We start from the raw sequence: 27487 nt of genomic DNA on the forward strand, positions 1-27487 counted from the left end.
TTCCCAGTCATGCTGAACTGTGAGTCAATTAAATCTCCTTCCTTTATAAATTACCCAGTCTCGAGTTTGTCTTTATTAGCAGTGTGAGAATGGACTAATACAAATACTTTATACACTACAGTACAGTGTTATAATCTGTGCTTTTCTGTGTATTTACTATTATTGATAAGCTTTGTACCTTCAGGTGATTATTTACTGGTCATTACCCTTTTTTTCCTGATTGAAGTGCTTCCTTTAGCATTTCTTGTAGGACAGGTCTGCTATTGATGAAATCCCACAGCTTTTGTTTGTCTGGGAAAGTTTTTACTTCTCCTTCATCTTTGAAGGATATTTTCACTGGATATACTATCCTAGGGTAAAGGGTTTTTTTTTTTTTTTCCTTCAACATTTTAAATATGTCATGCCACCCTCTCCTGGCCTGTAAAGTTTCCACTGAAAGGTCTGCTGCCAAACTTATTGGCACTCCACTGTATGTTATTTGTCTTTTTTTTCTTGCTACTTTTAGAATCCTTTATTTTTGCCTTCGGGAATTTGATTATTAAATGCCTTGAGGTAGCCTTTGAGTTAAATCTGCTTGGTGTTCTACATAACCTTCTTGTACTCAAATATTGATATCTTTCTCTAGGTTTAGGAAGTTCTCTGTTATTATTTCTTTAAATAAACTATCTACTCCTCTCTCTTTCTCTACCTCCTCTTTAAGGATAATAACTCTTAGATTTACCCTTTTGAATCTGTTCTCTAGATCCTATAGGTGTTATTCACTCTTTTTTATTCTTTTATCTCCTCTGGCTGTGTATTTTCAAATAGCCTGTCTTCAAGCTCACTAATTCTTTTGCTTTATCAATTCTGCTATTAAATGACTTTGATGCATTCTTCAGTATGCCAGTTGCGTTATTCAGCTCCAGAATTTCTGATTGATTCTTTTTAATCATTTCAATCTCTTTGTTAAATTTATCTGATAGAATTCGGGATTCCTTCTCTATGTTACCTTGAATTTCTTTTCAGTTTCTTCAATACAGTTATTTGACTTCTCTATCTGAAAAGTTACATCTACTAGCATCAACACCATCCAGAAAAACATGACCTCACTAAATGAATTAAAGATGTTATTTCATGTCTCGGCATTGAAGAATTAGGTATTTATTGTAGTCTTCACTGTCTCAGCTTATTTGTAGCCATTCTTCTTGGGAAGGCTTTCCAGACATTTGAAAGGACTTGGGTATTTTGATCTAAGCTTTTCTAATATGCCAGCTGCAAGTTTCTTCTTTCTTGCCTAGACTTTTTTGGGGTTAGGGGGAGTGTACAAATTAATTGAAATTAATTACAACAAATTTAATATCTCTCAAAACTTTAAATGTACATATCCCTTGGTCCAGAAATTCTTTTTCTAGGAATTCATTATGCAAGTGCACCAAGATATATGTAGAAGGATATTCACTACAATACCATTAGTAATGCTAACAACTAAATGTACATCAATAATTTTATTGCATAAATTACACCATGAAACTGTAAAAGCAACAAAGAATTGTTATGTACTGCTAATGAAATGATCTCCAGAATATAGTAAGCAGAAAAAGTGGGAATCGAAGCAGTATGTATGATATGCTTCTATTTGATTATGCATAGAAATTTTCTGGAACTAGACACCAGAAACTGTTAATACTGTATACCACAGGGAATGGGAATGAGGAGTTGGGATTTGAAGTAGGAAGGGCATGTAATTTTTATTGTATACCTGTTTTCCCAAACTGTGCACCAAAGTACCCTGTGTTCCTGGAGGAAATATGAAATTTCAAGGTAAAGACAATGATACTAGAAATCTATTAAATATTGCCAAAGCTACTAAGTCAAGATAGTTTATAATTTCAACATTAGATCATGACACATTCCTTTCATTTTTTCCTTTATAGGGAATTTTTGTTTTTGTTTTGTTTTTATTTTTCCATAAGTTATTGAGGATACAGGTGGTATTTGGTTACATGAGTAAGTTCTTTAGTGGTGATTTGTGAGATTTTGGTGCACTCATCACTCAAGCAGTATACATTGCACCATATTTGTAGTCTTTTATCCCTCACCCCCTACCACTCTTCCCCCTGAGTCCCCAAAGTTTATTGTATCATTCTTATGCTTTTCCTTATAGCTTAGCTCCCACGTATCAGTGTGAACATACGATGTTCGGTTTTCCATTCCTGAGTTACTTCACTTAGAAGAATAGTCTCTAATCTCATCCAGGTCGCTGCAAATGCTATTAAATCATTCCTTTTTATGGCTGACTAGTATTCCATTATATATATCTCTCACAGTTTCTTTATCCACTCATTGACTGATGGGCATTTGGGTTGCTTCCACGATTTTGTAATTGTGAATTATGCTGCTATAAACATGTGTGTGCAAGTATCTTTTTTGTATAATGACTTCTTTTCATCTGGGTAGATTCCCAGTAATGGGATTGCTGGATCAAATGGTAGTTCTATTTTTAGTTCTTTAAGGAATCTCTACACTGTTTTCCATAGTGGCTGTACTAGTTTGCATTCCCACCAGCAGTGTAGAAGTGTCCCCTGATCAACGCATCCACGCCAACATCTATGTTTTTTGATTTTTTGATTATGGCCATTCTTGCAGGAATAAGGTGGCATCACATTATGGTTTTGATTTGCATTTCCCTGATCATTAGTGCTGTTGAACGTTTTTTCGTACCTTTGTTGGCCATTTGTATATCTTCTTTTGAAAATTGCTATTCATGTCCTTAGTCCACTTTTTGATGAGATTGTTTGCTTTTTTCTTACTGATTTGTTTGAGTTCATTGTAGATTCTGGATATTAGTCCTTTGTCAAATGTATCAATTGTGAAGATTGTCTCCCACTCTGTGGGTTGTCTGTTTACTCTGCTGACTGTTCCTTTCGCTTTGCAAAAGTTCTTTAGTTTAATAAGGTCCCAGCTATTTATCTTTGTTTTTATTGCATTTGCTTTTGGGTTCTTGGTCATGAAATCCTTGCCTAAGCCAATGTCTCCAAGGGTTTTTCCAATGTTATCTTCTAGAATTTTTATGTTTCAGGTCTTAGGTTTAAGTTCTTAATCCATCTTGAGTTGATTTTTGTATAAGGTGAGAGATGAGGAACCAGTTTTATTCTCCTACATGTGGCTAGCCAATTATCCCAGCACTATTTGTTGAAAAGGGTGTCCTCTCCCCACTTTATGTTTTTGTTTGCTTACAACACATGCCTTTCAATAATATTATATCTTTGTGAAGTTGGCTTTGGGAAAGTTACTATGATAAAGTAACAAACCCTTTGGGTCATCTAAATGACACTCCATTACAATTTAACTTACCTTCCCTCTGAACTGACTGAAAAGGCCCTATCAGCTCAGGTAAAAAGATCTAGGAGGCTATTCTTCTTACTATCAAGGAAAAAGTTCCCCAAATCCCCAGAAAAGACTACTATAAAAGTGGGTAGGTACCATCATCAAATTATGTTTTAGAAAATCATGACTTTGCTAGGCAATGTTAGTAGAAGTTGACTTTGAAAGATGCTCAGATTATGTTAACACAATGTGAAAATTGAGGTATAATAGAGTCATGATTAATGTGCATATTTCCATATTGAAAGTTCTTAAAGGTTCATGGCTGCCCTTTGAGCTGGAGCAGCTCAGTATTTCTGGTTCAGCCTCTTTGATTGAAAATGCTCTCACCAGACTGACTAGGTTTCCCCAGTGCTTTGTCATTGGGCAGGAGCATTTCTTCTAAGTATATTGAAGCTATCTATAGGAAACCATGGCTCATAATGGTCTGGCTCCTTTCTTTTCTTGGGAATTGGACAGAGGACCTGATCTCAGGGTCTTGACTGAGGTCACCCATTAAGATTGTGACACAGCTAAGACTACAAACTAGGTCTTCTGGTCTAAGGTCAGTGCTCTGTCCATTCCACATCATTCCCTCCAATGTCAGTGAAGTCATGATGGACTGAAGCAATGCTTTGACTAACTTTAAACTTAGGAGGTCAAGCAGACCTTGTGATAAAGGTCTAATTGTGAGACTTGTCTAACCCTCAGTTTCCTCACTTGTTTGATGGGGATGATAATAATATCTACCCCTCAGGATTTTGTAAAGATTAAGTGACATCCTGTAGACAAAGTGCTTAACATGGTGTCTGGCTCAGTGAAAATTTTTAGTAAATGTTGTCCCTTCCTCTTGGCTAAGAGTTTGATCTCTGGAGTGAGCAATGCAAGTTTCGGAGTCTCAGTCCTATCACTGTCTATATGTGTGACTTTGAGATCGTTACTTATCTCCTCTATGCCTTAGTTTCCTTATCTGTCTCACAGTATTGTTATGAGGATGCAATGGGATTATAGATATAAAGTGGTTGAATTCAGTGTTTCTCCTGAAGCAAGTAATCAACTATATATAGTGTGACATAATTATTAATGGCGAGGTTACTAAGAGGAATTTGGTGTGAGCTCCCTGCATGGAGTGATCCTAATCGTGAAATGGTGAAAGCCTGCCAATAGGATGTGTGCTTTGTGTCCTCCATGTCCTATTTTTCCTCTTCTTCCCTACCCAGCCGTTTATCCAATCCCATTCACAGATCCTTGCTTCATAGTCAGGTGTAAGTGGCCAACAGCATAAAATATTACTACTCTCAGTGGGATTTGCATTTTCCAAGCGACTAAAATCCTAAATTGAAAGGAGGAAACTCTAGCGGGGCAAATCCAGCCCTGATTTAGAGCAGAGTTTCTCAGTCTCAGCACTGTGGACATTTTGGGCTGGATAGTTAATTTGGGGGACTTGTGCATTGTAGGATGTTTAGCACCACCTCTGGCCTCAACTTACTAAATGCCAGTAGTGCAACAATGCTTTCCCCAGTTAAGACAAAAATGTCTAAGCACTGCTAAATATCCCCTGGGGAGAGAAATCACGCATAATTATGATCCATTGGTTTAGAGGATTCTGCAGGGAAGTGGGGCCTTCCAGGATATCTTAAATGACACAGGGGTTATAAGTGCAAATGCCTTCAGGGACCAGGCAGAAATGGAAATGCAGAAAGCAGAAGAGTATAATATGATAAGGAGTGGTGGGGCTTGTGGCAAAATGGAGGGTGTATGCCCTATTTAAAGGCATTCAAAGTAAACATTTAAAGAAAAGCTCTCTGGCCGGGCATGGTGGCTCACACCTGTAATTCCAACACTTTAGGAGGCTGAGGAAGGAGGATTGCTTGAGGCCAGGAGTTTAAGATAAGCTTAGGAAACATAGTGAGACCTCATCTCTGCATAAATATTTTAAAATTTTAGCTGGGAATGAGTAGTATGTGCCTGTAGTCCCACCTACTCTGGAGGCTGAGGCAGGAAGATAAGTTGAACCCTGGAGTTGAACGTTGAAATGAGCTGTGATGATGTTACTGCACTCCAGCCCAGGCAACAGAGCAAGACCCTGTCTCTTAAAAGAAAAGAAATAAATTAAAAAGCTCTGTAAGCCAGACAAAGCATATATGAGGACTGAAATGGGCTGCCAGTTTCAAGCCCCAGGTGTAGGCTGTCCCTCAGGATGGTTCAACTGTGGTACGTGCTCTCCTCATTTGGGCCAGTGATTCCCCCAACCCAGTTTCTGCTTTTCCCCCCTCTGCCTTCTGCCTTCAAAATAAGGATGCTTTTAAATAGTCAAGGCATATTTTATTATCCTAGAATGTAGACTTAATTTTAAAGTTCACTAAAACTTTCAAACATATATGTGTTATTCAAATGGGCACATTTCAAATGTAATAATTTAAAACTGTCTATATGTTGTGTTAAAAATGGACAATAACTTGTAAGAACAGTAAAGGCAGGGGGAAAAATCAACAAAAACCAGAAAAACATAGATGAAAATATTAGCAGGGGTTGTGCCCAGGTGAATTTTTCTCTATTTTTTGGTTTCCTATATATTTTTGTAAAGCTTAATGTTATACTGGGGAAAGCATACACTTGAAAGAAGAGCTCTGTGTCATCCAGTACTTGTCCAGATGGGAAAAGTGTCATGAAATCAAATAAATAACAAAAATTCTAATGGCTGAGCTAGTCCTCCTAATCCCTGCACTGTCAGAGGCTTCATGTCTGATGAACAAGAGAACCTGGAGTTCCCTGCGTGTGGTTATTAACATTGATAATAATTGGAACACTAATCTCTGCCCACCACATTCTGTTCTCTGGTCGCTTTCTGCTGCTTTTTAATGACGCGCTTTTGCTTTTTCCCATGTATTCCGCATTATACACATGCTGTACTGCTCTACCTTCCCTCGATTTATGCATGTCTCTAGCAGATGGTTGGGCCAGTCCACCTCGGGTGCTTGTTTAGCATAACAGAGAGCTCAACAACTGGGGCCCCACTCACAATGTTCAGCTTGCATTTCTGGATACTGGTGGGGTAAACACAGGGTTAAGGCCAGCACTTGCCATTTCCGACCTACCTTTACTGCAGCTAGGGGTGGGTTTTCCTATTTGCTTTTCAAGAGTTGTTTTTCCTCTCTCATTTTTTCCACCCGCTACCCCCATTTTTTTCCCTTGGACTTCTCAGGTTTTCTATGAGACTTCTCATGGTAGTGGTGAGTACAGGGAATTTTCGAGGAAAAATTCCATTTTGGAAATCCAGCATTTGGAGTCCCTGCTTAATTTTTTAGTGGCTGAATCTTGTTGAAGGCGAGGGAGGCATCCTTCATTCACCTGCTCCTTTTCCCTCTTTGAAGAAGGATGTGCTGTATCAACCATCCACTCTCCTCAGAATGGTGGAAATTTTGAGCACATGTGGATATGAGCAATTAAAGAAATCAGAATTGACCTCCAATAACACACTTCCAGTCTCTTGAAGCTTGTGAAGTAGTTCAAGTCAGCTTCCGGGTGCCGGGCCTCCTGGCTGCCTCAATTCAGAGCTACACTTCTCCCCATGCTCGTAGCACGTTGATTTCAAGCTCCTGCCATTCTAGGGAGTACTTATGGAGGCTTACTGTGGCAATATAAGCTACATTTTTTTTTCATCTGATCTGGGTCCTCAGATCTTCTGGGCTATTATTTATGAAGAAAAAACTATCTTGTGATAAAACCATCTAAGGAGTTGAAGGTTGTTATTGTTCTAGGTTGCTACAAGATTTGCCTTAATGACTTAAGATGAACACAGCTTGAGATAAGAAACCTGTAAAGTGCCAGTCTGAAGTTTCCTGTAATATGTAATTTCCATGTGGATGGAAAAAATTGATTTCTAATTTATAAAATACGTCCCCCAATTCCAGTTATTACGTACTTTTCTAGTTTCAGCTTGAAATCACTCAGAGTGATGCGTCCACAGAAGGCAAAAAAGCGGGGGTTGCTTTCTTCCCACTCCAGGTGAAGAAGGAAAAAATGGAACTTTGTGGCGAGGAAGCCAAGAAAGCAGTTGGGGTGGTGTGATTGGTGGGGGAGGAGCCTGGATAAATGGTGGTCTCCATATATTTTCAGGACGGCTCTTTTCTCTCCAGCACTGGAGGAAAATCAATATCTTGTTTTCAGATGGGTAAATGGAGTTGTCTCTTTAAAGTGCCCCGGTCAGTTCACCACACGTCGGGCAGCTGCTGCTTTCCAGGCTGCCCCGCGATTCCCAGGCTAGAAGGATTGACAAGGCGATGATAAACTAACGTGCCCCCTCAGCTCTGGGTGTGCGCCATTGTTCCTGCAGCTGAGACCCTCTGCTGCTATTTGCTTTCTCCCACATACATTATTCAACAGCCCAGGAAAAGGCCAAGAACCTCTTTCATTCAGGAATTCTGTATTAAAATAATCAATTTCAAACTGAAGCCGGGAAGGCCAGCTTGCTACAGGGAGAGCCTATTAATAAGCCACCAGTCTTTTCCATTTGCATTGAACTCATGCTGTATTGTGGTAATATGGGATTATTTTTTTTTTTCAGTTTCCTCCAAGAAACTAAACATTACATTGGTTCTCTTGCCCTTTCATAAATAGCATGTAGAAGAGCTTCTTCATTTGATCCCATCATTAATAGAACACTAGAGGCCATATTTGTGCCTGCTACTCTGCACTGACCAATTCTGATTTTGAAAGTACTTTAAAAAAGCCATTAGCTCTCCATGAAATGTAGCAAGAAGAAAAGTTTTCAAGTGTTTTGTTTTCCATTCATTGGCATTACGTTTCTTGTCTTGTCTCTCCTGCCCCCTGCCTCTAACCATTTCCCCACGTGCACACACACACACACACACACACACACACACACATCGTTATATTCAAGCCCTAAGCCAAAAAATTAGAAACCTTACATGTACAAGTAAAGATAAATTTCAAGTGCTTTCCAGCAGCACCATGAGACACTCTCCCAAATGGGTGTGTTTTCCCTATTTGGTTAATAAAGGGTTAATTTAAAAAACTCCCTTTCTGTGGCTTCCTTATTGTCAAAATTCTTTCTAGGCTTACATCTGTCCGTTTTCATGCCTTTAAACAATCAATGACCAAAAAGTAACTATTAATAATTACTATTCTATAGTCAATTCAACATTTATTAAACACCAACTGTGTACACGAGAAATCTCCAGGGCTTTAACTTGGGGCATCCCAATGAATCAGTTATAATTCCTCAAATGTCCCCTGAAACATGGATTTTTAATATGGTTCCCAGATTTAGCAAATAAAAATATAAGGCACTCTCTTCAATTTGAATTTTAGAGAAATAAACAATTGTTTGGTGTAATTTGTGCCATGTCATCTTTGGGACATACTTATACAAAAAATTCTCATTGTTTATTTGAAATTAAGATTTAACTGGGAGCCCTATATTATATCTGGAAACACTACTTAAAGGAATTCTTGATGTGATGATGAGGTTTTTGATGTTGCTATCTATTACTTTCTTCTCACCTCCAAAGCTTAGACCAGAGAGAAACTGATTGACTGAAGGCTTAGTTAGTAGGGTTCAACTTAATTAAAATTTTATTTTTCCATATTATAAGCTTTCTCAACTAAACTAAATAATTCTAAAATAACGTATAAAAATTCCTGTCCCACTAGTTGATTGATTTAATTAAAGTGGAAAAAAATTGCCCAGAAAAATTCACTGTGTATCCTACATTGTGCCACAGACTGCTAGGCATTAGGGAGACAAAGCTGAGGTAACTGTATCAATGAAAGTGCCCTGTGCAAGAATGCACAACGAATAATAGCCACAGCTGACTATGAGCATGCCCTAGCAGAGGAGAGACATACAGGGGCCAACTCTTGCAACCAGTGGTAGAAGTACATCCCAGAGGAGGGAGGACTCACTCAGCCTCGATTCTGCATAGTAGGGAAAGGTACAACAGACAAAGCACAGAGTATTGTCTACAAGGATCAATTCTGATTAATTCTTTTTTGAGGGCAGTCTGAGTGCTGAGGAACCTAGTAGACAGTGACTGCCCTCTGGGAGCTCACAGTGGGGTTACAAAAAGAAGACATGGTGCTTACAAGACAGAATGGGTGTCAAGAGGGTAGACAAAGTAGCAACTACCCTTTATTACTACAGGCTTACTATGTGCTAGGCATTATGCTAAGTGCTTCATGTAGCTTTGTTTCCTATATCCTCACAATATCCCTTTGACAATATCCCTTTCTGAGATGAGGAAGCTGAGCCTAAGCAAGGTAATTTGGTTTGCTCCACAAGGCCAAGTGCTGGTTCCTAGATTCAAACCCATATCTTAGGCCTAGGTGCTAGTCACCATGTTCTTCTTTGGGGGCTAAAAGGAGGGAGAGAAAATCCTCTGAAAATTTATAGCAGCAATATAAATCCAAATACAGCAAGTATGTGATTCTCTTTTCTGTCCTACTGATCTATTTAGTACAGTGCTAATAATATACTGATTTGATTAGATTAAGGTGGTATTATAATGTGTTGGATATCTGGTACTACAAAATGATATTTTAATTCAGTGGGAACAAGATGGATAATTTAATAAGTGATAATACATCTGGCATCCTTTGAGAGAAAAATAATATTGCATAAATACTATCTTTCATCACATACTAAAATAAATTCCAGAGGAAGACTTAAATATAAAAAAATTACAATCTTGTAGAAAAATCCTGGAGTATATGTGCAAGACAGAGGACAAGATTGGATACTCAGAAGCTATGAAAGGAAAGAGGGGCTTACTAAACATTATATGAATTTAAAAATTCTGTATGGCAAATGAAAACATAAATGAAAGCCACAGACAAATAATAATTTTAGAAATGTTTTTGTAATGCAAAGGGCAGATAGAAAGTATGTCTAAAATACACAAAGAGCTCTTGTAAATTGGGCAAAGGAGGCAAAAAACAACCTAAAGAAAAAATCAAGAAAGGATGTAAAGAGACACTTTCACAGAATAGTAATTTAACAAGCTAAGCAAACTTATGAAAAATGCTCAAATTCACTAATAGTCAAGGAGTTTCAAATTAAAGCAATAATGCGATATCACCTTACAGCCACCAGACAGGCAAAATGTTTAAAAGTGATACAGCTGCTTCCTGAAGAGATGTTGAAAGATCCTGAAATATGCTTTACCTCAGAAATCTCGTTCTTGAGGATATGTGCCATGGAAATATAAGCACCAATGTACAATACTCTCTATATAAGTTTGTTTATTATAGCATTTTCTGTAGTCATGCACATGCACACAGATGAAAACAAAGAGAATGTTGTTAATAGGGAAGATGCCTGAATAAATTGATAAGCCATCAATGCAGTGAAATATTATGCAAACATAAAAAAGAATAAAATAGAGCTCTACCAGGTGATTTGAAAGAGTTTCTATGAAGAATTGTTAAATATGAAAATAAGATGCAGAAAAATGTCCCATTTTAATACATATTTTAAATGGTATATGTAACCTGTATATAATTATTTGGCCATGAAGAACGATATGAAAGGATACATACCAAGCTTTTAACATAGGTGGGAAGGGTAGTAGAGTGGAAAGGGGTGTAGGGAGTAAATGATGTGGGTGGAGAAGATGGAGAGAAGTGAGCCATGTAAAAAAGGGGAAAACACAGAGACTACACTAAAGAAAAATCCCATGCATGTTTGCATTTTTCTTCTTTAAGAAAAGTCTAGGCACTTTTTTGTTTGTTTGTTTGTTTGTTTTTTGCAACTTTTTCTGTGTAGCCCAAAAGAAGGTAATCATTGTTAGGCCTATTGATGGCGACTGCAGCTGTTAGCATATGTGCAAAACAGGCTCACATGACTGAGGAAGAAAATTCCAATTGCTATGAAGTATAACCTTCACTAGAGTATGGAGACCATAGATTTGCCCAAGACCATGAAATTCTGAGTGCATCAATTTTAAACAGTGCTTTTCAAAGCTTAGCTCCTGGTTAACAAGAATTACTAAGCAAAATGGAAAGTTCCCTGATGGCACACATTGGCAATAAACTGAGTTCTGCCATAATTATGGAATTGATTTGAGGGTTGTTCCTCTCTGTTTGCCTCTGTCCCAAAATCGCTCTGGCCCCTTCCATTCTGTTTCCTTAAACGTTTTCTGGTTGTCAACTTTACATCTCAGTGGTAGGCTTTTGGAAACCAAGTGGGCTATTTAAAGAAAAATGAAGAAAATATATCCTAGAATAGATTTAAGATGTCTGTGCTGCCAATATGTGCTGCCAATGTTGCTTGCAGTGGTTATTGGGAAACTTCCCACTTATAGTTCCTACAGACAGGGAGGAGGTCCTCCCTAACCAGAGAATCAATCCAATAAAAAGATACAGGATGCAGCCTTCTCCATCTCTCCAGAAAAAAATGCCAAGAACCTAAGCTGAGGCTTTGGTAATTGGTGTGGGAAAGACAGTTTGCTTCTCCAAGTCATGTGAATATTTTAAAGGGGAACTGAGATGACACCATTTATAGAAATACGCAGGTATGGAAGAAGAGCAGGTTTGGGGAGGTGAAAGATATTTCTCCAACAGATCCATGCCAGGCATCAGGGTGGATAGTTTGAGCAGGGCCTTGGAAAGGTGGGACTTGAATTTAGGAGAGAGGTAAGGCCTGCAATAGGTAAAACTAGAAGCCTGAAGCACTGAAAGAGTCTAAGGAGAAGAAAAAAGAGACAAAGGAACCATGTATTAGTCAGTGTTCTCTAGAGGTACTGAGCTAATAGGAGATATATATGAGTTTATTAAGGAGTATTAAACTCACATGATCACAGGGTCCCACAATAGGCTGTCTGCAAGCCAAGGAGCGAGGAAGCCAATACGAGTCCCAAAACTGAAGAACTTGGAGTCTGATGTTGGAGGGCAAGAAGCATCCAGCAGCATGGGAGAAAGATGTAGGCTGGGAGGCTAAGCCAGTCTAGCCTTTTCATGTTTTTCTGCCTGCTTTATATCCTGGCCATGCTGGCAGCTGATCAGATGGTGCCTACCCAGATTAAGGGTGGGTCAGCCTTTCCCAGTCCACTGTCTCAAATGTTAATCTCCTTTGGCAACACCCTCACAGACACACCCAGGATCAATACTTTGCATCTTTCAACCCAATCAAGTTGACCCTCAGTATTAACTATCACAAGTCCACCCCTTGTCAACTTGAACCCATACACATCTCCTGAGATCATACATAATCTTCAAATAAAGACAATAATAAGGTCATAATTACGCCTAACATAATGCAACTATTCCTTCATACAACCGGAAATGCACCAATCCCCAACCCAAATGCTATTACATACAGTTAACAACACTTAAATGCTGATATGAAGTCAATAAATCTTCTGTCACATGATAAAGGAAAAAGGAAATAAAATGAAGGTATTTTCATAGCACAAGTGTATACAGGCACAAACATGTTTTTAACAAAAGGAGGAGGAAATACTCATGACAATTACAGTTCTCCTTTCTGCAACTGGTCACGTGGTCATAGCTGGTATTGATGATGACCTCCTTCTTCTACCAATTCTATATTCCCTTTGCCTTCAGCAAGCACCTCAGCAGGTCATGGTTTTCTTCCTGGTGGAGTTACTCAAACCTTCATTCCTGAAGGTTGTGGGCCATTTGTAGTCCTGCCTGGATTGGGCTTTTGTAGTTTCTCATTGACCTTAATCACAGGGCATGGTAATACTAAGAGACACCCCAAGGGATCTCCTGTATTCTACGCATACTCTTCCTTACCTCCATTGTGGAGTATTAGACTGATTTCTTCTTGATAGTTCAGGTTGATCACCCCAGCCAATACTGTAACTCTCTTCTTAGCCTGTTGGCTTAGAGGTAGGAGGAGCCCAAAGTGGCCAGTGACAATATTAACTTCCAGTTTAATGGAATCATTGTTGTTTCTCCTGGTAGCAGTGTTCCTCCCTCTGGAACTAAGACCTCTAGGCTAGCAGAAAATAATGTCGCAGGAACAGAAAGTGAAAATTTTGCTAGTGAATCACTAGGGGTAATGGTGAGCGGTGCCACTTTCACTTCCATCCCTTGATTCCTGGACCCATGAATCCTGGCTATAGAAGAAACAGTACCATATATTGCATGCTGATTCAGAGCATACACGACCTTCTGGAGAACTTTGCCCCAGACCTGCAAAGAATTGTCACCTAGTTGACGTTGTAATTGTGACTTTGAAAGGCCATTTCACCGTTCTATCAATCGAACTGCTTCAGGATGATGAAGAACATGGTAAGACCAGTGAATTCTATAAGCATGAGCCCACTGTTGCACTTCTTTAGCCATAAAGTGAGTGCCTTGGTCAGAGGCAATGCTGTGTGGAATACCATGACAGTGGATAAGGCATTCTATGAGTTCATGGATGGTAGTCTTCGCAGAAGCATTGCATGTAGGTTAGGCAAACCCATATCCGGAGTAAGTGTCTATTCCAGTGAGGACAAACTTCTGCCCTTTCTGTGATGGAAGAGCTCAAATATAATCAACCTGCCACCAGGTAGCTGGCTGATCACCCCAAGGAATTGTGCCATATCAAGAGCTCAGTATTGGTCTCTGCTGCTGGGAAATTGGACACTTAGCAGTGGCCACAGCCAGGTCAGCCTTGTTGAGTGGAAGTCCATGTTGCTGAGCCCATGCATAACCTCCATCCCTGCCACCATGGCCACTTTGCTCATGGGCCCGTTGGGTGATGACAGGGGTGGCTGGGGAAAGAGGCTGAGTGGTGTCCATAGAATGGGTCATCCTATCCACTTGATTATTAAAACCCTCCTCTGCTGAGGTCACCCGTTGGTGAGCACTCACATGGGATACCAATATCTTCACAGTTTTTGACCACTCAGAGAGGTCCATCCACACACCTCTTCCCCAAATTTCTGTCACCAATTTTCCAACCATGCTTCTTCCAAGTCCCTGACCATCCAGCCAAACCACTGGCTACAGGCTGTGAATCAGAATATAATAGCATATCTGGCCATTTCTCCTTCCATGCGAAGTGCACAGCCATGTGCACTGCTTGAAGTTCTGCCCACTAGAAAGATTTCCCTTCATCACTGTCCTAGAAAGAGGCTGTAGTGCTGCAGCTGTCCACTTTCGGGTGGTGCCTGCACATCTTGCAGAGCCATCTGTGAACCAGGCCCTAGTCTTCTCTTCCTCTGTCAATTGATCATAGAGAACTCTCCATGAGACCATTGGTGCAGGCTGGGGGAGAGAAAGCAAGGTGGCAGGAGTGGAGACCATGGGCATTTGAGCCACTTCCTCATGTAACTTACTTATGCCTTCAGGACCTGCTTGAGCCCAATCACATATATACCACTTCCATTTGATGATGGAATGCTGCTGTGCACGACCTACTTTATGGCTAGACAGGTCAGAAAGCATCCAGTTCATGATAGGCAGTTTAGGTCACATGGTGACTTGATGACCCATAGTCAAACCTTCAGTTTCCACCAAAGCCCAGTAACAGGCCAAGAGCTGTCTCTCAAAAGGAGAGTAGTTATCTGCAGATGGCAGGGCCTTGTTCTGAAATCCTAGAGGCCTCCACTGTGATTCGCCTATGGGGGCCTGCCAGAGGCTCCAAACAGCATCCCTATCTGCCACTGACACCTCAAGCACCATTGGATCTGCTGGGTCATACAGCCCAAGTGGCAGAGCAGCTTGCACAGCAACCTGGACCTGTTGCAGACCCTTCTGTTCTGGACCCCACTCAAAACTGGCAGCCTTTCAGGTCACTCGATAAATGGGCTGGAGTAACACACCCAAATGAGGAATGTGTTGCCTCCAAAATCCAAGTGGGCTCACTAGATGTTGTGCCTCTTTCTTGGTTGTAGGAGGGGCCAAATGCAGCAACTTATCCTTCACCTTAGAAGGAATATCTCTACAGGCCCCATACCACTGGACTCCTAGAAATTTTACTGAGGTAGCAAGTCCCTGAATTTTAGTCAGATTTATTTCCCATCCTCTGGCATGCAAATGTCTCACCAATAAGTCCAGTGTGCTTGCTACTTCTTGCTCACTGGATCCAATCAGCATAATGCCATCAACGTAATGGACCCAGTGTGATATCTTGTGGAAGCGAAAAGAGATCAAGGTCTCTCTGAATAAGATTATGACACAAAGCCAGAGAGTTGATATACCCCTGAAGTAGGACAGTAAAGGTATATTGCTGACCATGCCGGCTGATGGCAAATTGCTTCTGGTGGGCCTTATGGACAGGAATGTAGAAACAGGCATTTCCCAAGTCAATGACTGCATACCAGGTACACAGAGATATGTTAATTTGCTCAAGCAACGAAACCACATCTGGTACAGCTGCTGCAATTGGAGTCACCACTTGTTTAAGCTTGTAATACTCCGCTGTCATTCTCCAAGATCCGTCTGTCTTCTGCACAGGCCAAATAGAAGAGTTGAAGGGGGATGTGGTGGGAATCACCACTTCTGTGTCTTTCAAGTCTTTGATGGTGGCAGTAATTGCTGCAATCTCTTTCCAGGGATGCGATATTGTTTTTGATTTACTATTTTTCTAGGTATAGGCAGCCCTAATGGCTTTTATTTGGCCTTTCCCACCATAATAGCCCTCACCCTCCCAGTCAGGGAGCCAATGTGGGGGTTCTACCAGCTGCTAAGTATGTCTATGCCAATTATGCATTCTGGCACTGGGGAAATGACACAGGATGAGTTCATGGACCCACTGAACCAACTGTAAGTCAGACCTGAGCTAAAGCTTCATTAATTACCTGACTTCCATAAGTCCCTACTTTAACTGAAGGATCACAATGACATTTTGAGTCCCCTGGAATCCACGTCAGCTAAGAGCCAGTGTCCAGTAGTCCCCGAAATATCTGATCATTTCCCTTTCTCAAAATGCACAGTTACCCTGATAAAAGGCCGGAGGTCTCCTTGGGGAAGGATGGGAGAAAGATTAGCAGCATAAATTGTCAGTATTGTATTGGGGTCCTTCCTTAAGGGGACCCAGCCTCCCCTTCATTCAAGGGGTTCTGGGTGTGTAAACTTGCTCAAGTCTGGAAATTGATTAAGGGGCCATAATTCTCTGTTTCTATAATTCAAATTAGTATTTTGTCCATTCAACCTGAAGATTTCTGCTTATATAAATTAAGTAGAAATATAGTAGGCTTCCTATCAATTTCACTTCTGGGAACACCGTGATTAATTAGCCAATGCCAGAGCTCTACATAAGTCAAACTATTCTGATTGCTGCTTTGCCTCTGCTGTCCATTACAGTAGCTATGCCCACCTTGCCTTCGGTGGTTGAGTGCCACCACTTGGCCCCTGCCACCTCGGGATCCAATTATTCCCATTGAATTTAAATTTTGTAGTTGAGTGACTGCAGATCCCACTGTTAGATCTGACATACAGAGAAGAGCAATTACAGGGCTCTTCATAGATGCAGGTGCTGCCTCACAAATCTATTTTGCAAAGCACTGGTCAAGAGTATATCTTCTGGACCCTCCCAGCTGGGATGAGTAGGTCTAAAGTGACTAATCCACTCCACCATCCCAATCTCTCTAAGCATTTAGATCCCTTCCTCTACATTAAATCAAGAGAGATCAGGCATTTCTAGCTCACTCACAGTGGGCCATCTTTTAATCCATATTTCAGCTAACCAAGCAAATAAGCTATTAGAAACTTTTTTTAACTCCCCGAGCTGCAACATTAAAAGCAGAGTCCCTACTTAGTGGGCCCAAATCGATAAATTCAGCCTGTTCCAACTCTGTTTCTTCCACCATTATCCCACACCCTTAATATCCATTTCCATGCCTGTTCTCCAGATTCAGGCTTATATAAATTAGAAAACTCAACTAGTTACTTTTGAGTGTAGTGCACCTCCTCATGGGTCACACTCTGAACCTCACGTCTAGGGGCCCACTGGGACTTTAGTTACAGATCTAGAAGCAAACAGCGGTGTTGGGGGTGGCTCCTGAGGAGAATCAGCATTATCTTGCTTGGCAACTGCCTCAGGGGAGGCCATCACTGTTGCCTCAGGCAGTGCAGGGTTTATCTCCGCAGACAAAGGTGGAAAGGGCAGCATGTGTCAGGGAGGGGATGTTGCCGCTACTGGGGATGGGGAAGCTGTTTCTTCTGGCAAAAATGGTTCTTCAGATTTTACACCCAGATTTTACAAGCTCAGTGTCACACCCAGATTTTACAAGCTCAGTGTCCCCAGCTTCATCAGGGTCCTCCCATAAGTCCCCATTCCAAGTTGCAGGGTCCCATTTGTTTCCAATCAATGGCCTCATTTTAACAGTAGACACCTGGTGAGGCTGTGCATGCACCTTTCATTTCAGGTCAGCCACTTGCATGATAAGAGCTTGTGTCTGTTTTTCCACAATTTCAGCTCTTTCTATACAGGAGATAAAACTCTCACTCAGGGCAATCTTAGCAGATTTGAGGCTAAGTATCTGCTTCTGAAGCTGGAACATAGAATCCCTGAGTTCATCATCATCTTTCAACACTTTGTCCAGTGAACTCAGGAGCAACCAACCAACTTTATTATGTTCCTTGGTTCTCCACATGTAGTCAAAGGTATTATGTATAGAGTAACTTGCCTCTTATGAGCAGTGAATCAGGAATGTCAAATGACTTTATTTTGCATATCTCTCTAAACAGTTCATGCCAAGGACTATCAGTGTTCTCCATACTTTTAGAAGTAGAGTCCTTAGCATTTTGGGGTCTAATCGTATTAAGCAGCCAACTCCAGAAACCCCAAAACCAATGAAAGAACATTATCCTTAATATTCTGTTCCTCTAGAACCACTCCTGGTACCATAATCTGTATTAGAGTTCTCTAGAGGGACAGAACTAATAGGATATATATATATTAATTTATTATATTTAATAATATAATTATTTATATATATAATAAACATATATATATATATATATGAGTTTATTAAGGAGTATTAAACTCACATGATCACAAGGTCCCACAATAGGCCACCTGCAAGCTGAGGAGGAAGGAAGACAGTCTGAGTCCTAAAGCTGAAGAACTTGGTGTCTGATGTTAGAGGGCAGGAAGCATCCAGCATGGGAGAAAGATGTAGGCTGGGAGGTTAAGCTAGTCTAGCCTTTTCACATTTTTCTGTCTGCTTTATATCCTGGTAGTGCTGGCAGCTGATCAGATGGTGCCTGCCCAGATTATGGGTGGGTCTGCCTTTCCCAGACCACTGTCTCAAATGTTAGTCTCCTTTGGCAACACCCTCACAGACACACCCAGGATCAATACTTTGCATCCTTCAATCCAATCAAGTTGACAGTATTAACCATCATAAGCCAGAAATATCACTTCATTTAGAAATAGGGTGGAAGAAGGAAAGCTGGAAGAAGAAAATGGTGGTGGGAGAGGTGAGAGGGGAAGCAAAAAGTAGAAAGCCACGTCTCCAAAGCCATGGTTCCATGAAAGAGAGCTTCATGAGTGCTAGCACATGCTGCTGAGGGGGTGGAGATATTAAGGACTGGTAGGAAGCACTTGCAGTAGGCAGTTAAAAATGGTGATCTTTAGGAGAGCATGTCAATAATGGATTTGATAGCCAGATTGTAAAGGTTTAAGGAGTAGTTAGTAAAGAAGAAGATGAAGTGAATAAGACTACACTGAAAAGGTGTTCATAGTGAAACATGAGGGTGGCAGAGTGACCACAGAGTTAAGTAAAAGTGATTCAGGGCTAATAGGACTGTGACCTTGTGTAAGGGTGGAGAAGTCTCTGAGGAGAGATAAGAGAGTCTGTGAGAAGAGAGAAGCAGAACTGTAAAAAAACAATAATTAATTGATCAAGTGATGCCCCTTGGCTATAAGGGAAGTGAGCCTATGACAAAAGAAGGAACACAGGTTTTTTTTAATAAGACTTGGCAGAAGAAGAGAAAGAGAGGAATGCATAGGTGGGTGAATGAATGGATGAATGCAGAGAAAAACATTTAAATAATGTTTGTGATTCCTTTAAATTATAAACATGATACATATCTGTTGTAGAGAAAATGGAAAATACAGAAAGTTAAAAAGAAAATGAAAATCACCTGTAGTCCCATCACTCAGGGATACCATTGGGCTGTATTTCCACCCAATTTTGTCTGTGTATATATTTACTTTTATCTTTAAAAAAATTGGGATCATAGTGTATAATTTTGAATGGTCCACTTTTGATTTTTGCTTAATGTATTTGAGGATTTCCACATATATATATATGACACTACTACTAATGGCTGCACAATTACAAGGCTGTAAAACATTTGTTTAACCATTTTTATCTCAGTGAGGCTTTCCGTTGCACTCCTTTATCAATATTATAAGTAGCACTAGCATTACTTGGAAATATTCCCAAAAAATAAATTACCAGGTAAAACTGAATTAAAAATAATTGATAGTTTGCTTTCCAGAAAACCTGTATCAATGTATACCTTCAGCAGCAGTATTGAGGGTCACTGTTTCATCTCACTCTCACCAAATGTAATGCTGTAATAAAACAAGCAAACAAACAAAAACATCTTGCTAATTACTAGACCAAAAATGCTTACTTTGTAAATTTGTAGTTGTATTATTACATGTAGAGTTTAACATTTTAAATATATTGATTAGGTTTCTCTATTTATGGCCTTTTCTATTTTATTCTCTATTGAGCTGTAAGTTTTTCCTACTGCTTTTTATGATCTCTTTAAATGAGAATATGCACAGTTTACTCATTTTTTTTAGTTTTTCTATTGCTCTTGTGTTACGAAAGTCCTACTCTAGCCCTAAGCTATATGAAATATTCACTTTTATTTTTATCTATCCATTTATAGTTTCATTTTTACCATTAACTCTTTAAGCCACCTGAAATTAATTTTGATGTGAAATATGAAAAAACAGTCCAACTTTATTTTACTGTAGTTAACCAATTTACTCAATACCACTTGTATAATACACTTCATTTTCTTTCTGATTTGGGATATAACTTACTCTTCCATTGAAAAACATAAACACTTAAAGATAGAACAGTATTTTTTGAGCTTTTTACTCCATTCCATTGATGTGTCTCTCAACTCTAGTTCCAGTGCTGCACTGTTTTAATTACTGTATTTAATTACTGTAGCTTTAAATTGTGTGTGTTTGTGTGTGTGGGTGTGTATGTGTGTGTTTTGGAGACAGAGTCTCACTCTGTCACTCAGACTGGAGTGCAGTGGCACAATCATGGCTCACTGCAACCTCTGCCTTTTGGGATCAAGCCATCCTCTGGCCTCAGTCTCCAAGTAGCTGGGGTTTACAGGTGCATGCCACCACACGCAGCTAATTTTTTTTTGTATTTTTTATAGAGATGGGGTTTCACCATGTTGCCCAGGCTGGTCTTGAACTGCTGGACTCAGGTGATCTACCTGCCTCGGCCTCCCAAAGTGCTGGGATTACAGGTATCAGCCACTACACCCAGCCTTAAATTGTGTTTTAATATAAGAAGATAATTCTTAGTTTCTCTAGCCCATTGCTTTCTAAGTGAATTTAGAATCTTTCAAGTTTTACTTACAAAAATCCTCCTGGAATTCATTATGGGGAAAATAAGCATCTTGGCCTTCTGGTATATAAGGCAACACATGATAAAGTGTTCAGCCTTGGGAGTCAGGCTGCTTGGATTCAAATTCTGGCTTTGCCACTTCTAACTGTGTGACTTTTAGAAAGTTACTAAATATTTCTGTACCCTAGTTTCTTTATCTGTAAAATAGGGATATTAATAGTGCCTTCTATGTAGGGTTTGCAGCTAGATTAAGTAAATAAACACATAAAGAGAAATGTAGAACAGCATGTGACACATAGTAGGCATTCCTTAAAAGTTAAGTATAGTATGTATCTCCATTTATTAAAGTATGTTGGAGCCCTTATGTAAGGTACAGACATTCCTTTCTTTTCATGGTTCTAATATTAATGAATTTCATTTGTGATGGTTTAATTAAATAACACCAGTTCCCCAATAACACAGTTTGAAATGTAATCACCACAGTATCTTAAGCATGAGTAATTGCATAAAATACAAACTTCAGTGCTATCTCTTTGGTCCACAAATTTACTATGTAAGTAACAGAAGTGCATCATGATTGGTGACTAATGGTATCACTTCTTTCAAACCCAATTGGTGATTGGTCCCTGTGCACAAAGCATGTTGCCTCTTTGTCTCTCAGCGATAAATCTCTGTGATATTTTATGAAAATAGATAATCAAAAGAGTGCGTTGGCCAACAAAGATGAAAGTGCAGCAAGGAACGAAAAGTGACAATGCTAGAAGTGAAATTAGAATCAAACATAAATGAAGTTACAGAAGAAATCATTAACCGTGGGAATGTTGACACCGCCGCCATTCCAGAGACCCTAGAAATGCAACCAGAGGAGCTTAATGGGGGTGAAAGTGTTGACATAAATGTGGGAAATTGTTGTGACAAAAAGAATGAACATGGTCCAGAGGAAGTGATACCAGCAAAAAAAAAAAAAAAAAAAAAAAAAAAGCCAAACCCAAAACAAAACAAACAAAACAAAACAAAAAAACATATTTGAGAAATCCTTGAGATATTTGGCAACATTGAAAATGCAAAGGATACAATATTGAAAGATGATGCAAACTTACAAAGGAGTATTACAATTTGTCAAGGCATAAAAATACACTAGCTTTTATGGAAGACAAGAAGAAGGCAAGTACTGTTTGAACTATCATTGATAACATTTTTTACAAAGTAACAAACACTTTAATTCTCAATATTTCTAATGTTTAAATTACAGTGAACTAAATATTTTACTTTTTCCATTTTCTTATACCTTTATAATGGAATGGATGGTGAGAGAGTTTTTAGTGTATTGGCAGAAATTTTTAAAGGTCACTGAACAATCATAATTCTTCCCATTGATTATTAAGACTGGTTTGTATGGTTTCAGCTTGCTTGGTCTTTTTAACGTTTCTGTACTACCTTGCTCATATTGTAATTGTCTTCATATAGCCCATTCCATACACACATCTTAATAGGATTATTCTTAGTTGTTTTAAATTTATTATAGCTGTTGGGAATGGGATTTATTTTTATTGTTTTCTAACAGATACCTTTGATATATAAGAAAGTTCTTGCTTCCTGTATATTTGCTTAGTGTCTGAATCCCCTGTCAGGTTTTATTATTTCTAGCAGGTTCTCAGTTGATTTGGTGCCTGTCCATTGGGAATCATGAATTTTGATTTTACATGGAACAGCTGTGTGAAAAAAAAAAAAGTCCTGGTTACCTAAGAAAAAAGGTTTCTTGGCTTTCTTCTGCTTTGGAAATGGACTCTCATGTCTGACATCATAGCTAAGCAGACTTATTTCAAAAGCAATCTTGGTGGCATGGAAGATTGTCCTGAGTTGAAATCTCCAATTTGTCACATGCTAGCTGTATTATCTAAACCTGTGTGAACTAAACCTCACTGAGCCTGTTTTCTCATTGGGGAATAGAAATAGTAATATATACCACATGAGATTATTAGAAGGGTTAAGTGAGATAGTGCATATGAGACACCTCCCTGAGAGCACAAAGGAAAAGCTCAATAAATGTTAAGCATTATCTTATTATTTTAAAAATTATTATTATGAAGGAGCAACTTCTTCCTTCCTGGACCTGCTGTACTGCTTAGGAACCCACCCATGCTTTGCTTAAGGACAATTCTTCCAGGGCCAAGACAGATGGTTGGGGTATCTTGCTGATTTTCAATTTCACTGAATCTCTTTATCTTTATGTGTTTTCTTATGAATTTAAATGAGAAATATGGCTTCCACTTTAACACAAAAGTCAATAAGAAAAAATCCTAAGCTGGAAAGAAAGGTGCGGCATAGCTATATTGTTATTTCTAGCCCCTCCCACATTTATTTGGTTGACAAGTGCTGTGAGCCCCATCTCAAGTGCTTCTTGAATCCACCACCCCGCTTCCTTTTCCATTCCCATTACCCTATATCTGGATCTCAGCTCACACGTGAATCTTTGTAACATTTTCTGAAGAGATATTTCTGCCTCTTTTCTCTCACTGCCATTACCCAGACCTTGTACCAGGGAGTTGCTTTTTAAACCACAGGGAAAAAATCATGACCTTTCTTTCCTTAAAAATAAAAAATCTCATTTAGGTCTTCATTACTTATAGGATCTTGACTGAACGCTAAAACCTGTAATTGGAGGCTTTCTATTATCTGATCTCAAACAACTCTTCCAGCTTCATTTCTATTGGCTATCAACACTCAACTCTCCCTCACTTCCCCCAACACACCCTCCCACCACTGCTACCACCAGCAGCAGCTTTACCTCTAAACACGCCTGTTAACAGCTCCCCAGTCCCTAGATGTGTTCTATGCTTTTCTGCCTTCATGTGTATGCTGTTGTTTCTCCAGCCTAAAATCCTCTCCCCATCCCCCTCCATCTTTTAAATCCTGCCCATTTTCACATGCCACAAAGTTCATGAAGTTCTTTCTGTTTTTTCTTTTTTTAACTTTAATTTTAATTTTAATTTATTTTTTATTTTACTTTAAGTTCTGGGATACATGTGCAGAACATGCAGGTTTGTTACATAGGTATACATGTGCCATGGTGGTTTGCTGCACCTATCAACCCGTCATCTAGGTTTTAAGACTCGCATGTATTAGGTATTTGTCCTAACGCTCTCCCTCCGCTTGTCCCCCACTCCCCGACAGGCCCCAGTGTGTGATGTTCCCCTCCCTGTGGCCATGTGTTTTCTTGTTCAACTCCCACTCATGAGTGAGAACAAGAAGTATTTGGTTTTCTGTTCCTGTGATAGTTTGTGAGAATGATGAGTTTCAGCTTCATCCATGTCCCTGCAGAGGACATGAACTCATTCTTTTTATGGCTGCATACTATTCCATGGTATATATGTGCCAGATTTTCTTTATCCATTCTATCATTGATGGGCATTTGTGTGGGTTCCAAGTCTTTGCTATTGTAAATAGTGCTGCAATAAACATATGTGTGCATATGTCTTTATAGTAGAATGATTTATAATTCTTTGGATATATACCCAGTAATGGGATTGCTGGGTCAAATGGTATTTCTGGTTCTAGATCCTTGAGAAATTGCCACACTGTTTTCCACATTAGTTGAACTAATTTACACTCCCACCAACAGTGTAAAAGCATTCCTATTTATGCACAGCCTCACCAGCATCTGTTGTTTCCTGACTTTTTAATAATTGCCATTCTAACTCATGTCAGATGGTATCTCATTTTGGTTTTGATTTGCATTTCTCTAATGACCAGTGATGATAAGCCTTTTTTCATGTTTGTCGGCTGCATAAATTTCCTCTTTTGAGAAGTGTCTGTTCATATCCTTCACCCACTTTTTGATGTGGTTGTGTGTTTTTTTTTCTTGTAAATTTGTTTAAGTTACTTGTAGATTCTGGATATTAGACCTTTGTCAGATGGGTAGATTGCAGAAATACTCTCCTATTCTGTGGGTTGCCTGTTCACTCACATGATAGTTTCTTTTGCTGTACAGGAGCTTTTTAATTTAATTAGATCCCATTATTGAATTTTGGCTTTTGTTGCAATTACTTTTGGTGTTTTAGTCATGAAGACTTTGCCCATGCCTATGTCTTGAATGGTATTGCCTAGGTTTTCTTCTAGAGTATTTATGATTTTGGGTTTTACATTTAAGTCTTTAATCCATCTTGAGTTAATTTGTGTATAAGGAAGGGGTCCAGTTACAGTTTTCTGCATATGGCTGGCCAGTTTTCCCAGCACCATTTATTAAATAGGGAATCCTTTCTAAAACAAGCAAAAACATTGCTTGTTTTTGTCAGGTTTGTCAAAGATCAGATGGTTGTAGATGTGTGGTGTTATTTCTGAGGCCTCTGTGCTGTTCCATTGGTCTATATATCTGTTTTGGTACAAGTACCATGCTGTTTTGGTTATTGTAGACTTGTAGTATAGTTTTAAGTCAGATAGCAGGATGCCTCCAGCTTTGTTCTTTTTGCTTAGAGTAGTCTTGGGCTATACAGGCTCTTTTTTTGGTTCCATATGAAATTTAAAGGTTTTTTGTTGTTGTTGTTGTTGTTGTTGTTTTTTGTTTTTTTTTTCAAATTCTGTGAAGAAAGTCAATGGTAGCCTGATGGGAATAGCATTGAATCTATAAATTACTCTGGGCAGTATGGCCATTTTCACGTATTGATTCTTCCTATTCATGAGCAAGGAATTTTTTTTTCCATTTGTTTGTGTCCTCTCTTATTTCCTTGAGCAGTGGTTTGTAGTTCTCCTTGAAGAGGTCCTTCACGTCCCTTGTAAGTTGGATTCCTAGGTATTTTATTCTCTTTGTAGCACTTGTGAATGGGAGTTCACTCATGATTTGGTTCTCTGATTGTTCTATTATTGGTGTATAGGAAAGCTTGTGATTTTTGCACATTGATTTTGTATCCTAAGAAGTTGCTGAAGTTGCTTATCAGCTTAAGGAGTTTTTGGGCTGAGATGATGGGGTTTTCTAAATATACAATCATGTCATCTGCAAAGAGACAATTTGACTTCCTCTCTTCTTACTTGAATACCTTTTATTTCTTTTTCTTGCCTGATTGCCCTGGCCAGAACTTCCAATACTATGTTGAATAGGAGTGGTGAGAGAGGGCATCCTTGTCTTGTGCCAGTTTTCAAAGGAAATGCTTCCAGTTTTTGCCCATTCAGTATGATATTGGCTGTGGGTTTGTCATAAATAGCTCTTATTATTTTGAGATATGTTACATCAATACCTAGTTTATTGACAGTTTTTAGCATAAAGGTGTATCAAATTTTATCAAATGCCTTTTCTGCATCTATTGAGATAATCAAGTGGTTTTTTTGATTGGTTCTGTTTATGTGATGGATTACATTAATTGATTTGCATATGTTGAACCAGCCTTGCATCCCAGGGATGAAGCTGACTTGATCATGGTGGATAAACTTTTTGATGTGCTGCTGGATTCAGTTTGCCAGTATTTTATTAAGGATTTTTGCATCGATGTTCATCAGGGATATTGGCCTGAAATTTTCTTTTTTTGTTGTGTCTCTGCCAGGTTTTGCAATCAGGATGATACTGGCCTCATAAAATGAGTTAGGGAGGAGTCCCTCTTTTTCTATTGTTTGGAATAGTTTCAGGAGGAATGGCACCAGCTCCTCTTTGTACCTCTGGTAGAATTTGGCTGTGAATCTGTCTGATCCTGGGCTTTTTTTTGGTTGGTAGGCTATTGATTACTGCCTCAATTTCAGAACTTTTTATTGGTCTATTCATGGATTTGACTTCTTCCTGGTTTAGTCTTGGGAGGGTGTATGTGTCCAGCAATTTACCCATTTCTTCTAGATTTTCTAGTTTATTCACGTAGAGGTGTTTATAGTGTTTTCTGATGGTAGTTTGTATTTCTGTGGGATCGGTGGTGATATCCCCTTTATCATTTTCTATCGTGTCAATTTGATTCTTCTATCTTTTCTTCTTTATTAATCTAGCTAGTGGTCTATCTATTTTGTTAATCTTTTAAAAAAACCAGCTCCTGGATTCATTGATTTTTTTTTTTTGAAAGGTTTTTCGTGTCTCTATCTCCTGTTCTGCTTTTATCTTAGTTATTTCTTGTCTTCTGCTAGCTTTTGTATTTGTTTGCTCTTGCTTCTCTAGTTCTTTTAATTGTGACATTGGGGTGCCTGTTTCAGATCTTTCCAGCTTTCTGATGTGGACATTTAGTGCTATAAATTTCCCTCTTAACACTGCTTTAGCTGTGTCCCAGAGATTCTAGCACGTTGTCTCTTTGTTCTCATTGGTTTCAAATAACTTCTTTATTTCTGTCTTAATTTCTGTCTTTACCCAGTAGTCATTTAGGAGCAGGTTGTTCAATTTTCATGTAGTTGTGTGGTTTTGAGTGCATTTCTTTATGTTGAGTTTTAATTTGATTGCACTGCAGTCTGACAGACTGTTATGATTTCAGTTCTTTTACATTTGCTGAGGAGTGTTTTACTTCCAATTATGTGATCAATTTTAGAATAAGTGCTATGTGGCACTGAGAAGAATGTATATTCTGTTGATTTGGGGTGGAGAGTTCTGTAGATCTCTATTAGATCTGCTTGGTCCAGAGCTGAGTTTGAGTTCTGAATATCCTTGTTAA

The 27487-nt window shown here is 39.1% G+C and overlaps 1 annotated feature.

The window, feature by feature from the left end:
- Nucleotides 7016-8259: an enhancer, noted in NCBI's record as "VISTA enhancer hs667". NCBI's record gives its function as "enhancer in: neural tube[9/11] | hindbrain (rhombencephalon)[9/11] | midbrain (mesencephalon)[9/11] | cranial nerve[8/11]" and the evidence as "EXISTENCE:transgenic organism evidence [ECO:0001131][PMID:17130149]".

Source organism: Homo sapiens, chromosome X (genome assembly GCF_000001405.40).
Source record: "Homo sapiens chromosome X, GRCh38.p14 Primary Assembly".
Classification (NCBI taxonomy): domain Eukaryota; kingdom Metazoa; phylum Chordata; class Mammalia; order Primates; family Hominidae; genus Homo; species Homo sapiens.